This window comes from Homo sapiens, chromosome X, assembly GCF_000001405.40.
Source record: "Homo sapiens chromosome X, GRCh38.p14 Primary Assembly".
NCBI classification, from domain to species: Eukaryota; Metazoa; Chordata; class Mammalia; order Primates; family Hominidae; genus Homo; species Homo sapiens.
Window position 1 is genome coordinate 29,161,058 of NC_000023.11, and position 21,709 is coordinate 29,182,766.

Consider the following 21,709-nt stretch of genomic DNA (forward strand, 5'->3'; position numbering starts at 1 on the left):
TCAAAAAAAAAAAAAAGTGTGATAACTGTTTTGATACAGCAAGTGGATGGATGGAAGAAGCTCTATGAGTATACAGCAGGGATACATGGCCTGGGAGGAAAAAGGGCTGACCATCCATTGAAAGGTTTAATTAGGTCAGTGAAGTTGCTCAAGTACAGCTATAAAATGAGGCAATCAATTACTGGTGATGCAGGAGAGAAAGTGATGTATGGAGAACTTTCTGAACTATAGTAAGAAATGTAATCTGTATTCTAAGGGCATACTTAATTACTGAAATAGTGTATTCAAAATAGGTATCATAATCAAGGAAACAATCTTAAATCATCATGTTCCAATTGCTTGATGATTATTGAAGCTAACGTATTAGGAATAGATGTATTAGCTAATGTATTAGGAATAGATGTTTCCTACTGCTGAGTTGAAATAACGAACCCACTTGAACTTTCGCAGACACCTCTAGGTTTACCTTTTATTTAATAAGTAAATAAAAATGTTCATGTTTTCTATAATACTTTGCATCAGCTTTCCCTTAATCTTGGAAACATTTATTTGACTGAAGAAATTAAGCACTCTCACCTGCATAAAATATTCTTCTGTATGCTATAGTGGAGCCAGTTGTAAAGATTTAGTTCAGTTAATAAATATCTGTTGAGATGCTGGCAAGGCTGTGGAGAAATAACAACGCTTTTACACTGTTGGTGGGAGTGTAAATTAGTTCAACCATTGTGGAAGACAGTGTGGCGATTCCTTAAGGATCTAGAACCAGAAATACCATTTGACACAGCAATCCCATTACTGGGTATATACCCAAAGGATTATAAATCATTCTACTATAAAGACACATGCACATGTATGTGTATTGCAGCACTATTCACAATAGCAAAGACTTGGAACTAACCCAAATATGCATCAATGATAGACTGGATAAAGAAAATGTGGCACATATACACTATGGAATACTATGCAGCCATAAAAAAGAATGAGTTCATGTCCTTTGCAGGGAAATGGATGAAGCTGGAAGCCATCATCCTTAGCAAACTAACACAGGAGCAGAAAACCAAACACCACATGTTCTCACTCATAAGTGGGAGTTGAACAATGAGAACACATGGACACAGGGAGGGGAACATCACACACGGGGGCCTGTCTGGGGTTAGGAGACAAGGGGAGGGAGAGCATTAGGACAAATAGCTAATGCATGTGGGCTTAAAACCTAGATGATGGGTTGATAGGTGCAGCATACCACCATGTCACATGTATACCTATGTAACAAACCTGCACGTTCTGCACATGTATCCCAGAACTTCAAGTAAAATAATAAATAAATAAATAAATAAATATCTGTTTAATTTCTGCAGAAGACCATAAATATACTTGGTGTGTCAGGCAGTGATCTGTAAGTATTTTTGTTCATGCAATCACACCAATCAAAATTTTGAGCAAATACCCCAATATGTGTATATTTTTCTAATAACAAATAATACATATATTACTATATTAATATATAGTATACATTAATACCTAAATAAAATAGAGAATTGAAATAATGGAATACAAATAAATTTTTAAACAGCTGTAAATATTTTTCTCATGGCTCAATCGAGGAAATCTTAAATATCGCCCAGGGAGTAGGAGCTTATTTTGCATACCATCACAATGGGGAAAAGAAAAATGAATACACTGTTATGTCTACCTTCAAGGAGGCAGCAATATGGTAATAGAAAAGTTCACAGGGGCCAGGCATGGTGGCTCACGCCTGTAATCCCAGCACTTTGGGAGGCCAGGGCAGGTGGATCATGAGGTCAGGATTTCGAGACCAGCCTGACCAACATGGTAAAACCCCATATCTACTAAAAATACAAAAAATTAGCCAGGCATGGTGGTGGGCGCCTGTAATCCCAGCTACTCGGGAGGCTGAGGCAGGAGAATCACTTGAACCTGGGAGGCGGAGGTTGCAGTGAGCCGAGATCACGCCACTGTACTGCAGCCTGGGCGACAGAGCAAGACTCCGTCTCAAAAAAAAAAAAAAGAAAGAAAGAAGAAAAGTTCACTAAAGCTAAATGCTGTGCCCTGTGGTATTAGAAGTTAGAGCTGTTGTGGTTCAAAGTCAGGAAGATATTTTCAGGGCAAATTTACTTGTAAGTTGGGGCCAAAGAAAGGAAGGTAATAGGGAACAAAGGCTGGAAATACAGCATGATGGTTCTTTAGAGCAATGCTTCTCCCAGTGTAATGTGTCTTTGAATCAGCTAGAAATCTGAGCTGCGGCCTGGGAGTCTGCATTTCTAACAAGCTCCTAGGTGCTGCTAATGTTGCTGGTATACAGACCACACTTTCAGTGTCAAGGCTTTAAAGGACTTTCTCATCTAAAATGAGGAGTTTGTGCTTAAATTGATAGGCAGTAGGCAATTTGGAAAGGTGTTCCAGCTCAGAGCAACATGATCAAGTTGAACTCTAGGCAAAGTAATTTAGCAGTAATTTATAGATTGGAGGCCAAGACTGGAGGCAGAGAGATAAGTCTAGAGGCAATTACAGGTGAGAGGTAATAAGACCTCTGAAGTAGGACATGGCAGTAGACACAGAAAAGGGACATGGTAGAAGCAGAATCAACCTGAGAAGAGAGATAACAAAGGAACACAGGTATAATATATAGAACAAATTAAAACGAAGACTAGAGAAACTAATGAGAAATGTGTCCTTTACTGTTCATCTAGTAATTTGGAAATTTGAATTTTCATATATTTAAATACATATGCATAAATGATATTTTCAGCTAACCACCAGAAAATTTCTGGTAGAAAATATCACAAAATAAAACTGGCTTTGAATATGTTTGTCTTTTTCCTTGATCCTTATTTCCAGAAAGAAATACATGTCCTGGAAGTATATGTCCATAGAGGTCCAATAAATCTCAATGATTGTAAATAGAGCTTTATTCATATTGAGCAAATGTTTCCTGTTCACTTGCCTCTAGGTGAAAAACATAAATGTCTTTATACAAATCTCTGAAATGTTTGAAGCATAAGGAAGGTGAAAGTGGCAAGGAGACATGTATTTTCATTATAGGCTCTGAATATCCATAGCTGTTTTCTGCTATTTAGCCACTTCTTCCTTTGTGACCTGACTTTGGACGGCACACATTATCAATCAGGAAGACCATTATGTTCCTTTTACTTGTACTTGTCAATGTCTGGCTGCTCCTACTGCAAGATAAGCTCCTTGAGAGCCAAGACTGTGTACTATTCATTTTGTATCCCCAGATCCCAGTGCAGATGCTGAATAATTGACTTATAAATAAATGTGTAAATGATCCCAGAACCAAGCACAGATATGAACACAAAAAAAATTCCTTTGGAGTGAACGAATGAATTAATAAGTAGGCAAGTGAAAGAATGAATGTTGACTTAGCCCTTAGAATGGCCATTGACAGGTTCTGTTTTTTTATTACTAGATAAGCACCAACCTTATTCTACTCAAAGTATGTGATCAATATTTCACTCATTCATGTCCACATACTATAAGAAGCCTTCACATTATATAGTGACTTTGAAATCAAAGTCTAAGTCTAAATTTTATTATAGGAGAAAAATGTGTGTGTTGTGCATTGTGGTTTAGTATAAATATAAGTCAGATTCCTTGACATCAAATCAGTTCACCATTTTTTCACTCACAGACTTTTTCGTCATCCTTTTAAGCCTCCCATTTTTTCTTTTTTTAAAAAATGATTTCATTATACTCCATTATTGTGTATGTGTGTGTGTGTATGTGTATCTGTGTATGTGTGTCTAAGTCAAAAACTAACCTCTTCTATGGGTATTTTGTTACTATCCTCTGTAATATAATGTGGGAATCTTTGTCCGTGAGCATAAACAGGGTGAGTGCAGGAATCTAGCCATCAGTTCTTTCTGTACTATGCATGCACAGCGTCTAACTTGTGCTTGTAATTTGTGATTACGTCTTCAGGATACATAGTTTTAAACTAGGCCGAGTGCGGTGGCTCACGCTTGTAATCCCAGCACTTTAGGGGGCCGAGGCGGGTGGATCACCTGAGGTCAGGAGTTTGAGAACAGCCTGGCCAATGAGGTGAAACCTCATCTCTACTAAAAATACAAAAATTAGCTGGGCGTGGTGGTGGGCACCTGTAATTCCAGCTACTTGGGAGGCTGAGGCAGGAGAATCGCTTGAACCTAGGAGGTAGAGGTTGCAGTCAGCGGAGATCGCGCCATTACACTCCAACCTGGGCAGCAAGAGCAAAACTTCATCTCAAAACAGAATAAAGTAAAATAAATGAAAAAAATAAAATTAAACTAACAGCTAACTCACAGTCTTCTGCTAAAAAAGTGTCATACATTCAGATTGTTTACTCTATCAGGTTAGTTACTCATGCTGCTATACTGTTTCCAAACTCTTAGGATTCTAGCACATTGTTTTAGTTTAATTTTCACTGTTCCTTTAAATGTTTATTTAATTCATTTTCTAAAATCACAGATATGAGCAGAGCCTTGGAGACCATCTAGTAGAATCCTTCCGTGGAATAGATATTAAAATAAAAACTCATATTGGTTAAGTTACTTTACAAAGGACATATAGCTGGTTATTGAAAAAAGTGGAGTAAAAATGAAAATCTCCCAAATCCCTAGGACAGTGATTTCTCTTACGCTGTGCTATATCACTAAAAGATTTTATAGTTTCCCTTTGGCCATCAGAGAAGCTATGTTTAATGTCAAGCCTGATTCATAGTTAACATCATATCTTTTGGGAGCCTAGATATGATAAAAGCAAAAGAGCTACAGGCATTTTGAAGAAGCACTTCCTACACACTACTATATACCTTGAATTTGTACTGGAATTGTTTGATACCCTCTCAGTTTATTGATACTCCAAAAGACCGAATTTCTAGGTTTGTTTTCTAAGCTTTGTCAATAAGGGTAGTATTTAGTCATGCAACACTTTAGCTCAAAATATTATCATTACACATTGTCTATATGTAAAAATAACTTTGCATATGCATATAGATTTTCCAGTTCCATTCAGCATGAGGCATCAACTCTTTGTAGTCTTTTTTATATAAACACACAAAAATTAGTTTATGACTTGTGCTATCATGTGTTCATGCTGGAAGACGGTCAGATGTATGTAGAATATAGCTTCTGTTAGTGCTCATAGTCTGGTGGTTCACAGGAAAATGAAGAATAACACAAGGAAGTGCATGTAATTATTTTAATAACTTCATTCTTGCAAATAACAGAATGAATGAAACAATGTTTTGCACAACCTATTTTATTTGATTTTCAAAGGAAGTCATCATGCAATAGTCCATTGACTTTAATTCTACCTGCTTACTGTCATAAAGTAATCTTCATGGCTTGAACAATCCAGAGCCTGTGAAATCTCCCTTGAATCTCTGCATCTCTCCATTTCCAACACCATCAGCCTACTCGAAGTGACAATCTTCTGAACAATTGAAACTGCATTCACTCTTGCCTGGTTTGTTTACTCATCATTCAGGCCTATTTTTTAATGTGTAAAATTTTAAATTTTTTGTTTAAAAATGCAAGTATGATCAAGCTGCTCTCTGACTTAAAACCATTTGGTAACTTCCTGTTGGTCTTAATAACTTCCCATTGCTCCCAAATCCTTAATGAGACCAACATATTTTGCTTACTTTTTTCTCTTTCTCCTCCTATCTTCACCCCATTCCTCTCATCTTACTCTCTCAGCTTCTCTCACCATGAAAGTGCATGCCTTGACTTTTTCATCCCAGGGCCTTTGCACATGCTGCTTACTCCATTTGCAAAGTATTGTCTGTCAAATGACTTGCACCACTTCAGCCAATTATCTCCTTTTCATGCGTGAATTTCCAGATTCAATGTCACTTCCTTAGGAAAGCTTTTTCTTCAAAGACTGGGTTAGAATTCCCTGTCACATACCTTCTAACACCTAACACCGTGCAGTCCTGCTTCACAGCAATAATCATAGATATAATGTGGAATTTATTGATTTTGTTGAATTTATTGTTAAATTTTATGCTAAATAAGGCCGTATGTTCTTTGTTCACTTCCTCCATGAGAACCTTGCATCTTGTTTTGAACACGGTGAATTCTCAGTAAGTATTTCCTATCATTTCAAATTTTTTGTGCCTATTTTATTTTTTACATAATATATTGGTAGAATATTACAGGTATATAATTTATATAGTGATAAATGTAGAGAGAGAATATGTACTCCCTTCCCATTCCGCTTCCCCTTCCCCTTCCCTTCCCTTCTTCCTTTCCTTCCCTCCCTCCTTTCCTCACTTCCTCCTTTCCTTCTTATTTTTTTCTGTAACCTAATAATATTGTATAATCAAAAAGTCTGGAGACTTCTGCTTGTTTTTTACTTAATACGTATTTTCCTTCTATTTAATAAAAGGAGACTGGCCTGTCTTTTAAATTGCATTTTATGGCCTAAATTTCTACTATATGATTCAAAAATTGCTCTGCCATAGTTTGTGAGAAGACACTATGTTATTTTACTTCCTAAAGAAAGGGTAGTGAACAAAATAATAAAAGCTTTATATTAAAGACAATAAAGTTGATAGTGTTGTGAAATCATGTTACTCTTATTTTCGGTCTGTTTTCTTTCCAGATCTCTTTCCTGATCTATGGTATATATGCCAGAAGCCATAAATACTTAATACAGGGTGAATAAAAGACATTTTAAATTAAGCATGCCCCCCCACCAACATTATCAAGAGTAAAATGAAATAGACCAATAAATCGGCTTACTTACTGGCCAACACCTAAATTGATTATTAGATGTAATGGTACAAATTTGTATAAATATCACACTTCCCTCTAATCTTTTTAAATGAAATATGCAGGAAGGATTGTCAAATGGAAGTACTATACTAAAAAGCGATTATCACCATGGTAATGTTGGCTTGCTTTTCTGTTCCTTTTAATTTGGTTACCCTCTTTATTGTTAAATTTTTTAAAAAGTTTTCTACTTTTACATTTTTTATTTATACTTAACACATAATAATTTAAATATTGGGGTACAATATGATGTTTCAGTGCATGTATACATAGTATGAGGATAAAATCAGGGTAATTATATACACCAATTTAGACATTTATCATTTCTTTTTGGTGACAGCATTCAAAATCTTCACTTCTATCTGTCTTGAAATATATATTACATTGTTATTTGCTATAGTCACCCTAGTGTGTAATAGAATAGCAAAACTTATTCTTTCCTGTCTAACTAATTTTGTACCAATTGACTAATAACCTTTCCCAAGAACCCCCTCCCACATACCCTCACCAATGTTTGCTAACTACTATTCTACTCTCTACTTATATAAAATCAACTTTTTTAGGTTCCACATAGGAGTGAGATCATGCAGTGTTTTTCTTTCTGAACCTGGCTTATTTCATTTAACATAATATCCTCCAGGTTCATCCATGTTGTTGAAATAACAAGATTTCATTCTGTTTTATGGCTGAATAGTATTCAATTGTATATATATATATATACACACACAATTGTATATATATATTCATATATACAATTGTATATTTATATTCATATATATACATCTATTGTATATGTATTGTATATGTATTGTATATATATTGTATATATATTCATATGTACAATTGTATATATATATTCATATGTACAATTGTATATATATATTCATATGTACAATTGTATATATATATTCATATGTACAATTGTATATATATATTCATATGTACAATTGTATATATATATTCATATGTACAATTGTATATGTATATTCATATGTACAATTGTATATGTATATTCATATGTACAATTGTATATATATATTCATATGTACAATTGTATATATATTCATATGTACAATTGTATATATATATTCATATGTACAATTGTATATATATTCATATGTACAATTGTATATATATTTTCATATATATGAATATATATGATAAATGTGATATATTAATAAATGTGATATATATCACATTTTCTTCATTTGTAAATGGGCATTTATGTTGATTCTATATCTTGGCTACTGTGAATAGTGCTGCAATAAACATGGGTGTGCATATGTCTCTTTGACATACTGATTTCATTTCCTTTGGATATATATCTAGTAATGGGATTGCTGGATCATATGGAAGTTCTATTTTTATTTTTTTGAGGAAACTCCATACTGTTTTCCATAATGGCTATTCTAATTTACATTCCCACCAACAATATATAAGGTAAATTCTTTAGGCATTGCCTTAACCTATACAGTCACTGCCTCACTATAGAAGTTATTTTACTCTGATTTTGTGGCATCATTGTGTTTTAAACAAAAAGTGTCATCTATTATGATAATATTATGGCAGCTGTATTTATTTTCCTGCTTTCTGTAAATTAGGGTCTCAAGACTTCCTTAAGTACAATTATAGCCAAAATCTCATATGAAAAAAATGACAGAAACATGCATCAGATAAAAAAATATAAAAATCTTCAGTGACTCCAAAAATATATGGTCATTTAGTTTTAAAAGCAATTTCAAACTACCTGGTAGGATCTAATTTAATGATTCTTACCATGATTTCTTAAAGAGTATTCATCGTTGCCTCCCCTTAACTTTTAATGAAAATAACTACCAAATCTCTTTGTTATTTGGAAACTAAATAAATAAACTGGATCATTAACCTGAAAATGTTATCAGTGGTCCCAAAGTTTCACTAATGGAATTTTACATATTTAAATTAAGCAATAAAGGATAAGAAAATATGTAATAAAATAATTAGATTTAATATCTATATGTGGTTCATGGAAAAATCAAATGTTACTTTGAAACTTTGTCCCTATAATAATATTTAATTATAAAATACACAATAGAAATTACTCTTGAGAATAATTTTTATGTACCTGATTGCATTTCAATCCACATTTCCCATGGAACCTGAAGCAAATACCTTACAAAAAAGTAAAAATTCTATAAGGAATGTACTAAATTTGTACCCCAGCATTAGTGATAGAATAGATGTCTACACAGATTACAAATAAGTCAACAAGTTATTTGATAATGCCAATTCTTAGATGAAACTAAAACCTTTTACATTATCTATATTGTTCCCTTTTATATCAACAATGATCTTTTTCCTTTACCTAGTCAAGTTGCTAGAGAATTCCCCTTTCAATTCATGTAGAAATCACTTTCTTTATAAATCTGTGCCCATCTGAAAACAGCCAATACTTCTTGGATTTTTCTTTATTCATTCTTCACATGACTTTCTTTATCTGAAGGAAAAATAGTAGATATAACCTATGAATCTTATTATTCATCAAAAAGACAGAGAATGAACATGTCTTTAGGGATTACTATGAAAATTTGACAAAAACTATATATGAAGATGAAGGCGAGTATTTGAGATGACTTGCAACCTGTTTTTCTGTTTCTCTTTCTTAGTTTAGAAATTCAATATAACTATGATTTCAGATAATACAAACCTTGTCAGTTTTGTTTTATGAATAGGTTGGATGTCTCCTTTACTAGAAAAATGGGAAATATGTTTAGTGAATATTCAACGTATATGTAGAAGTGATTAGTATATTATTTATTGCAATTTGAGAAACCAAATTGAAAAGTCACCATAAATTATGAAGAAAAATGCATAACATTCCAACCCCTCGATAAAATTTCTTTGAAGTTAATATGACCATATAATAACTTTTGGTGTTAGAAATATATATTTTATTTTTACTTGAACTCCGATAACTTCAGCAAAATGCTGTTAAAAGTATTCTGTGCCTCCCTCCATTATTGTATTAGATGTTTTAAGAACATAACAATGTGGTGATTATTAAGAGTGAATAATTATATTTAATGAACTATGACCATGATTTGAATTTTATATGGATGGTGGTTTACTTTCTGTTACTGAATGTTGCACCCAGTGTTGTGGGATTTTGTTTTGTTTTGTTTTTGAGATGGAGTCTCACTCTGTCGCCCAAGCTGGAGTACAGTGGCACGATCTCGGCTCACTGCAACCTCCACCTCCCAGGTTCAAGCAATTCTCCTGCCTCAGCCTCCCGAGTAGCTGGGATTACAGATGCCCACCACCATGCCCGGCTAATTTTTGTATCTTTAGTAGAGACAGGGTTTCACCATATTGGTCAGGCTGGCCTTGAACTCCTGACCTCAGGTGATTCAGCCTCCCAAAGTGCTGGGATTACAGGCGTGAGCCACTGTGCCCGGTCATACCAATTGTTTTTAAGTCATAGGGTAAAATTGAAAGGGCACAGACACCAGAATTAAAATGCAGGTCTGTGTGAATGACCTGAACTACTCTGGTCCTCAATTTTTTTCACCCATAAAATCGGTGTTAGATTTCCTACTTTCCCAGGAAGTGGTGAGGATGGTGTTGTCATTATTGAATAAATTCAAACATGAGTCATGTACCACAGCATCTAACTAATATAAAACGCTTAGTTGATATTAATTCTATTGTCTCTATGTGAGTATGATTAAATGTAAAAAAGTAACACTTTATAAGGCAAAAGATATTTCTCAAAACAGGCTGAAGATAAAGATTATAGCTATAGAATTATCAAGAATTATGAAATATATAAATAGAAGTAAAGTTAGTTAACATTTGGGAGATACAGTGTTCAATCAGTAATTTATTAGGCATGCAAAATTAAGGCTGTAGACATAGAAAAATAATTATCTGAGAGCAAAACTAAATATCATGTCTATGTTTCTAAATGTCAGTACAAATAGCAAATGGAGGGAAAGAAAAAAAAAAGGGACATTTTGCTTTCAGCATAACACTCCATGCATTTGAATGTTTATTGTGGTTTTTTAATGGGTAAAATAGGGCTTCTTAACTGAGAGAATGAATTTGTGTTCAAATAGTGGTTTTCAATTTGTTCTAAGCTTCTTACCAAATTGAAAATAATGACCCATTTTGCCAATAATAACCTCAAGATGTCTTTAATAACCCAAGGTATTTTGAACCATTAAACTGGCTTGACCAAATTCTGCTTAGTAGCACACATGCAGTTTCTTTCAGCATCAAGAAAATTACTACATTTTTCTTTTCAAAAGGTTAAGTTAGCTGTGAACTGAAGTTTTTCTAATTTAAAGGTTTTTTAATACTCTATAGGTATAGCTAAATCTCAGTAATTGAATTTGTTCGTGAAAGCAATTGTATGATCCTAGAATACATATGTGGTTTTCAGTTCATTGCTTATGGCATTGGTTCTCAACGTGTGGTTCCTTGAACACTAGTAGCATCACCCAGGAACCTAGAGATGCAAATTTCTGGTCCCTGTTCAAGACATAGTGAATCAGAAACTCAGGAGTTGGAGCCCAGCAACCTATTTTTTTAAATCAATTTTATTGTATATATTTGAGGCTTACAACGTAATGTTTTGGGTTACATATAGACAGTTACTCTAGTGAAGCAAATTAGGAAAGCTATTGTCTTGGTGTAGCTTGTTTATATGTGACAAGAACCACAAAAATCTACTTACTTAACAAAAATTGCTAATACAATACAATTAACATGCCCTCCAGGTGATTCTAATGCATTCTGAAAATCTATCAAGTCCATATCTGGCATTTAATACCATACATTAGTGTTTGCAGCAGGGAAGCAAAAGTTTTGAGGAGAGAGCCCTCATCAGATAGGTCTAATGAAGTTTAATGAGTCTTGTGTGATTAAACATTGACAAGCCGGAAGACTTTGGGGAATCATAATAAGAATCATTCGAGTCATGAGAGTCTCATTGGATAACTTTCTTCAGCAATTCATTAAACATTGGAGAATCAGGATGGGAAGAGGAGGCACTGAAAGAAAAACTGGTGAATTTGGCATGGGATCATTTATCTGACCACAAGCTGAGCAGGGAGACTGTTGTCTTTTCATGGATGTCATGTCTCTTACAGAACAGAGAGGTCTTGGACTTGCTGCTAAACCCACCCAAGGCAACCAAATTATGGTTGTTTTTATTCCAGTAAAGTGGTGGTTCTCAGATCCCAGTGTACTTGATAATCCCCTGCGTAATTATTTTGAATACGTATGCCTGAGTCACTTCCTGAGAGATTGTGATTTAGGAGGTCCAAGGAACATACTTACAAAACAGTGCTAATGGATTGTAGGTAGGCGGATGATTTTATTCAGATGCCTTGTACAAAATCAGTATTATTTTTGGATTGAAAAACAGCTAATAAAAAAATAAACACTTAAATAAAGTATTATCAAGAAAGCTGTTTTAGGAATCTCCACATATGGGAAATACTTTTTGGTGCAATTTCTAGTATCACTGATTTAATAAACTAAAAATAATATCAGATAATTGTTTATATTGTTAATGACAATGAATAGATAGCTACTCTATGGTTTACTAGTGTTCTGCATTATGAAAGGAACAGAAAATTCATACCTTTGTGGTCCAGCAGCTACTCTAAGTAAAGTCTCATTTTGACTGTTCTGTAAGTACTTTCCTTATCATTGCTAATGGTGATTACAGGGCCACTCTATTATTGTAAGTTAGCTCAAGCAACCTGGAAGCTGAGGCTACTTCAATGATCATTTACAAGTTATAAGAGGAAATTGGTTGTGAAGAGATATCCCGCAAATTCAGAATTAGCATGGCATATGCTACTTCCATAGAGTAAGAGGAAACCTAAAAGGTAAAATGTAGAAGACGCAGATAGGGAAAAGCAAAAATAAAGCATAAAAGAATATGAAACTGTCTGGATGATATGTGTGAAACTTTGCCAAAAGATGACTCAAAAATCTTCAATATAAGCCGCATAATGCTTCCATATATGTATTAAAAGGTCAACATAAGCATATGGATTTATAAAAATGAACAATCAACAAGATGCTTTTTTTTTTTTGAGACGGAGTTTCACTCTTGTTGCCCAGGCTAGAGTGCAATGGAACGATCTCGGCTCACTACACCCTCCACCTCCTGGGTTCAAGGGATTCTCCTGCCTCAGCCTCCCGAGTAGCTGGGATTACAGGCATGAGCCAGCCACCATGCCCTGCGAATTTTGTATTTCTGGTAGAGACGGGGTTTCTCCATGTTGGTCAGGCTGGTCTCGAACTCCCAACCTCAGGTGATCAGCCTGCCTCAGCCTCCCAAAGTGCTGGGATTACAGGTGTGAGCCACCACGCCCGCCACAGTCAACAAGTTTAAAGTAGTTGACAGTGTATTGATATGAGATGATTTGCATGGAAGTAGGAAGATGAATGTGCAGAAAAATTGCTGATTTTCAAGAGACATAATTTCAGACAAAGATTTACTAAATTGTTCTGGCTTGGCTGATGGTAACCCATCACTTGTGCCGTGACTCGGAGCCATAAAGGAAAATATATCAAATAGAAAAATGAAATATATTAAGGTGTTATTGCAAAATGCATGTGATGTTTAGGTTACATTGTCTTGCTTATGAAGACACAGCTAAGTAATAGTACATATCAAATGTAAACTTCATGGAGAGATGACCAGTGGTTAATAGTTTTATGTAATATTTGTTATCGCATAAAACACAGAAAATTCAGAAGTAGATTTATAGTAAAAACCAATGGGGTTTAATGATATAGGAATTGCTATTCCAGTAAAGTACAGAAAAAAAACTCTCATTAAAAAGCATAAAGGTTGATTTATTTAAATTGCGGTGGGTTTGTTTACTAACTTCAGTGGATAAAGTTCTATAGTAAGAAAAAGGAGGCACAAAAAGATCCAGGAGACCTGGCGTGCTGGCTCACGCCTGCAATCCCAGCAACTTTGGGAGGCCAAGGTGGGTGGATCACGAGGTCAGGGGATCGACACCATACTGGCTAACACAGTGAAACCCCGTCTCTACTAAAAATACAAAAAATTAGCCGGGCGTGGTGGCGGGCACCTGTAGTCCCAGCTACTTGGGAGGCTGAGGCAGGGGAATGGCGTGAACCCGGGAGGCGGAGCTTGCAGTGAGCTGAGATTGCGGCACTGCACTCCAGCCTGGGCAACAGTGTGAGACTCCGTCTCAAAAAAAAAAAAAAAAAAAAAGAGAAAAATAGAAAAAAAGAAAGGATCCAGGAGTCTTAACTTTGTATACCAAGTAAAAACCTCACGCTCAAAATGGATATTGGTTGTCATAATGTGTTTAAAATACTCTAGCATAATCTTTAAAGAAAAATGATGGTCATCCTTTTGTTATAGTGACAAGTCACTACTTATTTATGTTTTGAATTGAGATTTGTTTATTTTTTTCCACTGCCTTATTGCAAAGCACTTGTCACATAAAATATATGCTCAAGGGCCTTGGAAAGCCAATGAAGTGAGTTATACATGGGCTGAGATTAATCAGTTTATTATTTCTTAAGCTTAGTAGCTATAAGTAAAAGTAAAATGCAATTCAGTATTTGAAAATGCCACATACTGCCCTCTGGAGTTTTCCATGCAGAAGAAGAAATAGAAAAATGAGAATTGCGAGGATTTAGAAACGACATGGAGTAGCTTTTAAAAATAAGATTCCAAGCTGGGTGTGGTGGCTCACACTTGTAATCTCAGCACTTTGGGAGGCCGAGGCGGGAGGATCATGAGGTCAGGAATTTGAGACCAGCCTGGCCAACATGACAAAACCCCTTCTCTACCAAAAATATAAAAAATTAGCCGAGTGTGGTGGCACTCACCTGTAATCCCAGCTACTCGTGAGGCTGAGGCAGGAGAATTGCTTGAACCCAGGAGGTAGAGGTTGCATTGAGCCAAGATCATGCCACTGCACTCCAGCCTGGGCAACAGAGTGAGACTCTGTCTCAAAAAAAAAAAAAAAAAAAAAAAAAGATTCCAGTGTATATTCCATGTAGAAATGGGAAAATTTACATTTTTCTTGAAATAGTATACTGCCCAATATGATGCTTTTATTTACTCTAGCTTAGTAGTGCTAAAACTTTAGCCTGCATCAGAATTAGCTAGGGAGCTGGTTATACACAACTTGTTAGGCCTCAGCCCTGGAGTTTCTGATACCGTAGGTCTGGGGTAGAGTTTGGTAATTTGCTTTTTTTTTTTTTTTTTTTTCTTTTTGATACGGAGTCTTGCTCTGCCGCCCAGGCTGAAGTGCAGTGGTGCGATCTCGGCTCACTACAAGCTCCACCTCCCGGGTTCACGCCATTCTCCTGCCTCAGCCGCCTGAGTAGCTGGGACCACAGGCGCCCACCACCACGCCTGGCTAATTTTTTTTTTTTTTTGTATTTTTTTAGTAGAGACGGGGTTTCACCGTGTTAGCCAGGATGGTCTCAATCTCCTGACCTCATGATCCATCCACCCATGTAGGCCTCCCAAAGTGGGTACTTCGCTTTTTTGACAGGTTTCTAGGTGATGTTGATGCTGCTGGTCTAGGAACCACACTTTGAGAACCCTTGTCCGAGTTTCTCATAAGCAAATTTGAAACAAACAAAAAAAGCAACTTCAAAGGAATTCCTCAACTGTTTTATAAATGCACTTACTATGGATGGTTACCTTTAGAAAATTTACAAGGAAAAATCTTGAAATTTTATGGGGATTGTTGAAAGAGGAACATTTGTTTCATTCGATTTTTTTCCTCTCTAGCAACTTAAGGGATCCATACTTACGTCTGATGGTCATTTCTGGACTTACAAAGACAATACGATACAATTCTGTTTGTGGTGAATAGACTTTCTGTATGATGAATGGGTATTAGTTTGAAAATGTGTCCCCTTTCTGCTGTATTGTGCCCCCTTCCCCACTAAAATCCTCAATGCCATTTACCAATCTTTTCCTGAAGATTTCTTGTTATTGACAAGCAGAGGGAGATTGGACCGTGATTCAAATGAGGTTGACAAAAACCAGAAAGCATTTGATTTCAAGACTCTAAATTTACCCAACGTTTTGTTCTGGGGATTTGGATATTTTGGTTATAATGGTCGTGATACTTCCTGACTCATCAGTCTTCTCAGCATTCTCATTTCCCTTACAACTCAATTGAAGGCTGGCCCCAGAGGAACTGGGGATCTGTCAAGTAGTGTTCATCTCCCTTCTCCTATAAAGGGAGATGACTGTATAGTCAACTGAGCTGAATTCTGCTTCAGTGGAGAAGAAACAAATAAGGGAGAAGCAGTTCTGCCCATTAGAGGACATACCATAATACATTGTTGATGATGGAGCAGGGGGGATGCCTTTCTTTTTCTCTGAGAAAGAACAGACCAGTTTTGCTTTAATCACTTGTTTTATTGGCTCATTTTGAAGATGTATTGAATCATCTGATCATTACATTCACAATTATACTCTTAATGAACTATTTTTTCTCACTGTAGTTACACTGAACTTCTCCCAAAAATTCGATTGCTGTCTCCAGCTGAATAGACCTATTTTATTTTATGAAAAATTGGCACAAAATGCTTCTGTTCTTTTCTAGGGCAGAGTGGTTAATTTCATTTGAAATATACTTGGTTTTCTTATAAGAATCACTGTGTATACATATAAGTACATTTGCATAAAATACAACATTTACAATAAAAGTATTGTTTAAGGTACTGTATTGTTTAAATTAATTTTCTATTATTATACTTTAAGTTCTAGGGTACATGTGCACAACGTGCAGGTTTGTTACATAGGTATACATGTGCCATGTTGGTTTGCTGCACCCATCAACTCATCACTTACATTAGGTATTTCTCCTAATGCTATCCCTCCCCCAGCCCCCGACCCCATGACAGGCCCGGTGTGTGATGTTCCCCTCCCTGTATCCAAGTGTTCTCATTGTTCAGTTCCCACTTATGAGTGAGAATATGTCGTGTTTGGTTTTCTGTCCTTGTGATAGTTTGCTCAGAATGATGGTTTCCAGCTTCATCTATGTCCCTGCAAAGGACATGAATTCATCCTTTTTTATGGCTGCATAGTATTCCATGGTGTATATGTGCCACATTTTCTTAATCCAGTCTATCATTGATGGACATTTGAGTTGGTTCCAAGTCTTTGCTATTGTGAATAGTGTTGTAATAAACGTACGTGTGCATGTGTCTTTATAGTAGCATGATTTATAATCCTTTGGGTATATACTCAGTAATGGGATGGCTGGGTCAAATGGTATTTCTAGTTCTAGATCCCTGAGGAATCGCCACACTGTCTTTCACAATGGTTGAACTAATTTACACACCCACCAACAGTGTAAAAGCATTCCTTTTTCTCCACATCCTCTCCAGCATCTGTTGTTTTCTGACTTTTGAATGATCACCATTCTAACTGGTGTGAAATGGTATCTCATTGTGGTTTTGATTTGCATTTCTGTGATGACCAGTGATGATGAGCATTTTGTCATGTGTCTATTGGCTGCATAAATGTCTTCTTTTGAGAAGTGTCTGTTCATATCCTTCGCCCACTTTTGGATGGGGTTGTTTGATTTTTTTCTTGAAAATTTGTTCAAGTTCTTTATAGATTCTAGATATTAGCCCTTTGTCAGATAGGTAGATTACAAAAGTTTTCTCCCATTCTGTATGTTGCCTGTTCACTCTGATGGTAGTTTGTTTTGCTGTGCAGAAGCTCTTTAGTTTAATTAGATCCCATTTGTCAATTTTGCCTTTTGTTGCCATTGCTTTTGGTGTTTCAGTCATGAAGTCCTTGCCCATGCCTATGTCCTGAATGGTATTGCCTAGGTTTTCTTCTAGGGTTTTTATGGTTTTAGGTCTAACATTTATGTCTTTAATCCATCTTGAATTAATTTTTGTAAAAGGTGTAAGGAAGGGATCCAGTTTCAGCTTTCTACATATGGCTAGCCAGTTTTCCCAGCACCATTTATTAAATAGGGAATCCTTTCCCCATTGCTTGTTTTTGTCAGGTTTGTCAAAGATCAGATGGTTGTAGATGTGTGGAATTATTTCTGAGGGCTCTGTTCTGTTCCATTGGTCTATATCTCTGTTTTGATACCAGTACCATCCTGTTTTGGTTACTGTAGCCTTGTAGTATAGTTTGAAGTCAGGTAGTGTGATGCCTCCAGCTTTGTTCTTTTGGCTTAGGATTGTCTTGGCAATGCTGGCTCTTTTTTGGTTCCATATGAACTTTAAAGTAGTTTTTTCCAATTCTGTGAAGGAAGTCATTGGTAGCTTGATGGGAATGGCATTGAATCTATAAATTACCTTGGGCAGTATGGCCATTTTCACGATATTGATTCTTCCTACCCATGAGCATGGAATGTTCTTCCATTTGTTTGTGTCCCCTTTTATTTCATTGAGCAGTGGTTTGTAGTTCTCCTTGAAGAGGTCCTTCACATCCCTTGTAAGTTGGATTCCTAGGTATTTTATTCTCTTTGTAGCAATTGTGAATGGGAGTTCACTCATGATTTGGCAATAAAAAATCCTTCTCAACCAGTTCAAGTTTTATATTTGTGTATTCTAGGATAGCTAGTGTGGTAGTTAGAATAATGACTCCCCAGAGATGTTCATGTGTTTATAGCTGGAGCTATGTTACCTAGTATGGCAAAAAAAGAAAAGACTGTAGATGTGATTAAATTAAATGTTAGGGGATGGGATATGATCCTGGATTATCTGGGTGGGCCTGGTGCAGTCACAATGGTTCTTATAAAGTCTGACTCAGAAAAGGAACTCTAAGTAAAGCTTTGGTAATCAACATTATTACTGAACGCATGCTGAGTTTGAATAGGCTCTGCTGTGACTTTTAATTTTTTTGTACAACCCCAAAACATAAGTGATATTCTCTTATTGGTTTTGAGTATTGAGTCCTTATAAGAGTACATGAAAGGACAGTTCCTACCTCACTGCTGACTAGAACAGTGGTTCTCAAATTTTAGTTTGCACTGGAATTACCTGGAGGGCTTGCTAAAAGACAAAAGTATCCGATTCAGAAAGTTGGGTGGGGCACAGAAATTTGCATTTCTAAGTTTTCCAGGTGTGGGTTTGTGAATGAGTGGAATGGGTAATCTACTCGTGAGCACTACTGGCCCAGAAGAAGGTTTCATAATCTTTGAAGGAAATGAAAAAAAAATCTACTTTAGGCTTATTGATCAAATTAACAACAAATCAATCTCTCTCTCTCTCTCAAGATTTCACTAATCCTTGTATTTCAGGCCCTTTGTTGATCATCTCATTGAATAAGCCATGTTACATTGGATAGCATCACATATAAGGATGGTTGTCAGTGCAATGAGAACTACTGTCAAAAAAAAAAATTGAGGAACAATGTTTTATATAAAGCACCTCTGAAAACCTGCAGATATAACGAATATTTATTATTAAATATTTTTAATCCTTTTTCATCCTTTTGAGATTAGTAAGACTCAAGTACTTCTCTATTTTCAAGAAGAAACTCATTATTATTATTATTATTATTTTTTGAGATGGAGTTTTGCTGTCGTTGCCCAGGCTGGAGTGCAATGGTGCTGTCTTGGCTAACTGCAACCTCCACCTCCCGGGTTCAAGCAATTCTCCTGCCTCAACCTCCCAAGTAGCTGGGATTACAGGCACCCACCACCACACCTGGCTGATTTTTGTATTTTTAGTAGAGACGGGGTTTCACCGTGTTGGCCAGGCTGGTCTCAAACTCCTGACCTCAGGTGATCTGCCCACCTTGGCCTCCCGAAATGGTGGGATTACAGATGTGAGCCACCACATCTGGCCAGAAACTCAATTATTTTTGTTTTTTGAAAAAATAGTGGAACCTCCATTAGGCTATTCCCTTAATTCCAAATCTTGTGCTCTATCAGTTGATCCTCATGACCTAATCCAAACATAATTCCTTTTTCATACTTTGCTACATTGCTAAGAATGTAAACATTACAGTGACGTTTTAGATTCCTGTATCTTTATCTGTATGTACATGTGTGTGCAATACATGCTCAAGTATGTCTGTGTATATATCAAATTGTTTCTGTGAAACAAAGAAACGGAGGGGTGGTGAGAGTTGAATTGATTCTTGGAAAATGCATCCATGCTTTTGTGTTTCCTTCTTTTGATAAATATAATTACTTTAAAATAAAACCTTCTATATTGTCTTTCCACTGTGTGAACTATTTAAAATTCCCAAAGAAAGAGTTTAAGGAACATGTGATCTGACTGAGTTGCTAACATGTGACCTGGAGGAGTTTACCTGGCCTCTTTTAGTCTCAATTTTCTCATCTGTAGTGAAAACAATAATAGTCTCATCCTAGGTTTCTGATGAGGATTATATAATATAGTACTTGGAAGGTTTTTAGCACACCATGTGTTCATTAATAATTACTTATTAGTATTCTCAGCTATTTAATACTATATTCTCACTACTCCTATTTGCAAAATAGCACTGTTAGGTCTCCATGGAGCTCTGAATAAATCTTTTGACCATAAGAACATTATGATTCAGCATCTAAACCTATAATTTTTTACATGCTAATAGTCTAGGTATTACTGTTTGAAATACATTATGTTAAGCATCTGACCTCTTCCTTGTACTTTGAATACCTTGATCATTTCAGCTAAAGTTCACTGATGGGGCAAACTTTAGAAAGAATTAGGTAGAAGCATTCACTGACTAATTCAGTCAAGGAACAATTCTAGAATTCCTACTATGTACCACATACTCTTTTTTAGAGATACAGCAGTGAACCAAACATACCAAAAATTATGCCCCTGTGGTATTTATATTCTAGTGGAGTGATTGCTCTCAAAATTGCATAAAATAAAGGATGGCAATTATATTTATATAACTGCTAATTCAACTTTATCCATGTTTCAGATTTTCAAGAAATGCTCCTTTTTAAATTATCATAATAAAGCAGATGCAACTGAAGACCATTTACGTTCATTTTTACAATTCATCTAGACTCATAAGCACTAATAATAAATAATCTCTAAGTCATTGAAATATTGTCATTTATAGTAAGTATGTATTTGGTCTTTTTCTCCATTTCTTGGCAAACAACTGCTAAAGCCCATGGAATCTCCAAAATAGTGTCTTTGTGTGTAATAATGAGATGACTGATGGCTCTGGCCTCTTAGATAGCTTTAAGATGGAGGGCGGTTGCCAGGGGAACCAACCATGTTATTAGAGAGTTGGAACTTTTAGCCTTGCCCCCCCCCACCCCATGCCTTCCCTGACCTCTGGTAGAGGAGAAGGGCTGAAGGTTGACTTGATCACTGATAGCCAGTGATTTAATCAATCATGCCTATGTAATGAAGCCTTCATAAAACCCCACAATTCTTATGGAAACAGAAAAACTGAATCTGGCACTCTGCTTTACTAGACTAACTCCTGGGCTTTTCCATTCTGTAGCATCCAAAGGAAAAAATAAGTTTTGTGTTGGTTGATTTGCAGACAGGTGTGTAGCACTAATGACTGCATTCCAGAAGTGGCAGAGCTAAGGTGATTTGATTTTCTAAAATGGTAAAAAAGCCTTTGTAAAATTGCAAAGAAAACAAACCAAAATCTTCCTTTGGATTGCACATAGTTGAATTGCTAGAGAAATCAATTACATTAAACTTTGAAAAAAGATTTTACATGTTTATATTACGTGGAGTTAAATTACACGCTCATGTACTTAGTTTTTTTTTTTTTTCACCTTTGTCAATGTCTAAAGAGGCATCCCAAAGTCACAAAAATTGTGAAACATTGTTTTGTCATTTGGTAACGGCCAGCATATGACAAAACTTGTAACATATGTGCCCTGTGGTAGGCACAATAATGGCCTTCCCAAAGACATTCATATCCTGATTTTTGGAACCTGTGAATATGT

General features: G+C 35.8%; 1 protein-coding gene across 2 annotated transcripts in view, besides 1 other annotated feature; it reads left to right on the forward strand.

Annotated features, from left to right (window-relative positions):
* IL1RAPL1 (interleukin 1 receptor accessory protein like 1) overlaps positions 1–21,709 on the forward strand; it is a 1,369,273-nt gene that overhangs the window by 573,612 nt on the left and 773,952 nt on the right. The gene's annotated exons all lie outside the window — the stretch shown is intronic.
* Positions 15,123–15,622: an enhancer, noted in NCBI's record as "H3K4me1 hESC enhancer chrX:29194297-29194796 (GRCh37/hg19 assembly coordinates)". NCBI's record gives its function as "activates a minimal SCP1, AML or CMV promoter by ChIP-STARR-seq in primed H9 embryonic stem cells {active_cell/tissue: H9 hESC(primed)}" and the evidence as "EXISTENCE:reporter gene assay evidence [ECO:0000049][PMID:30033119]".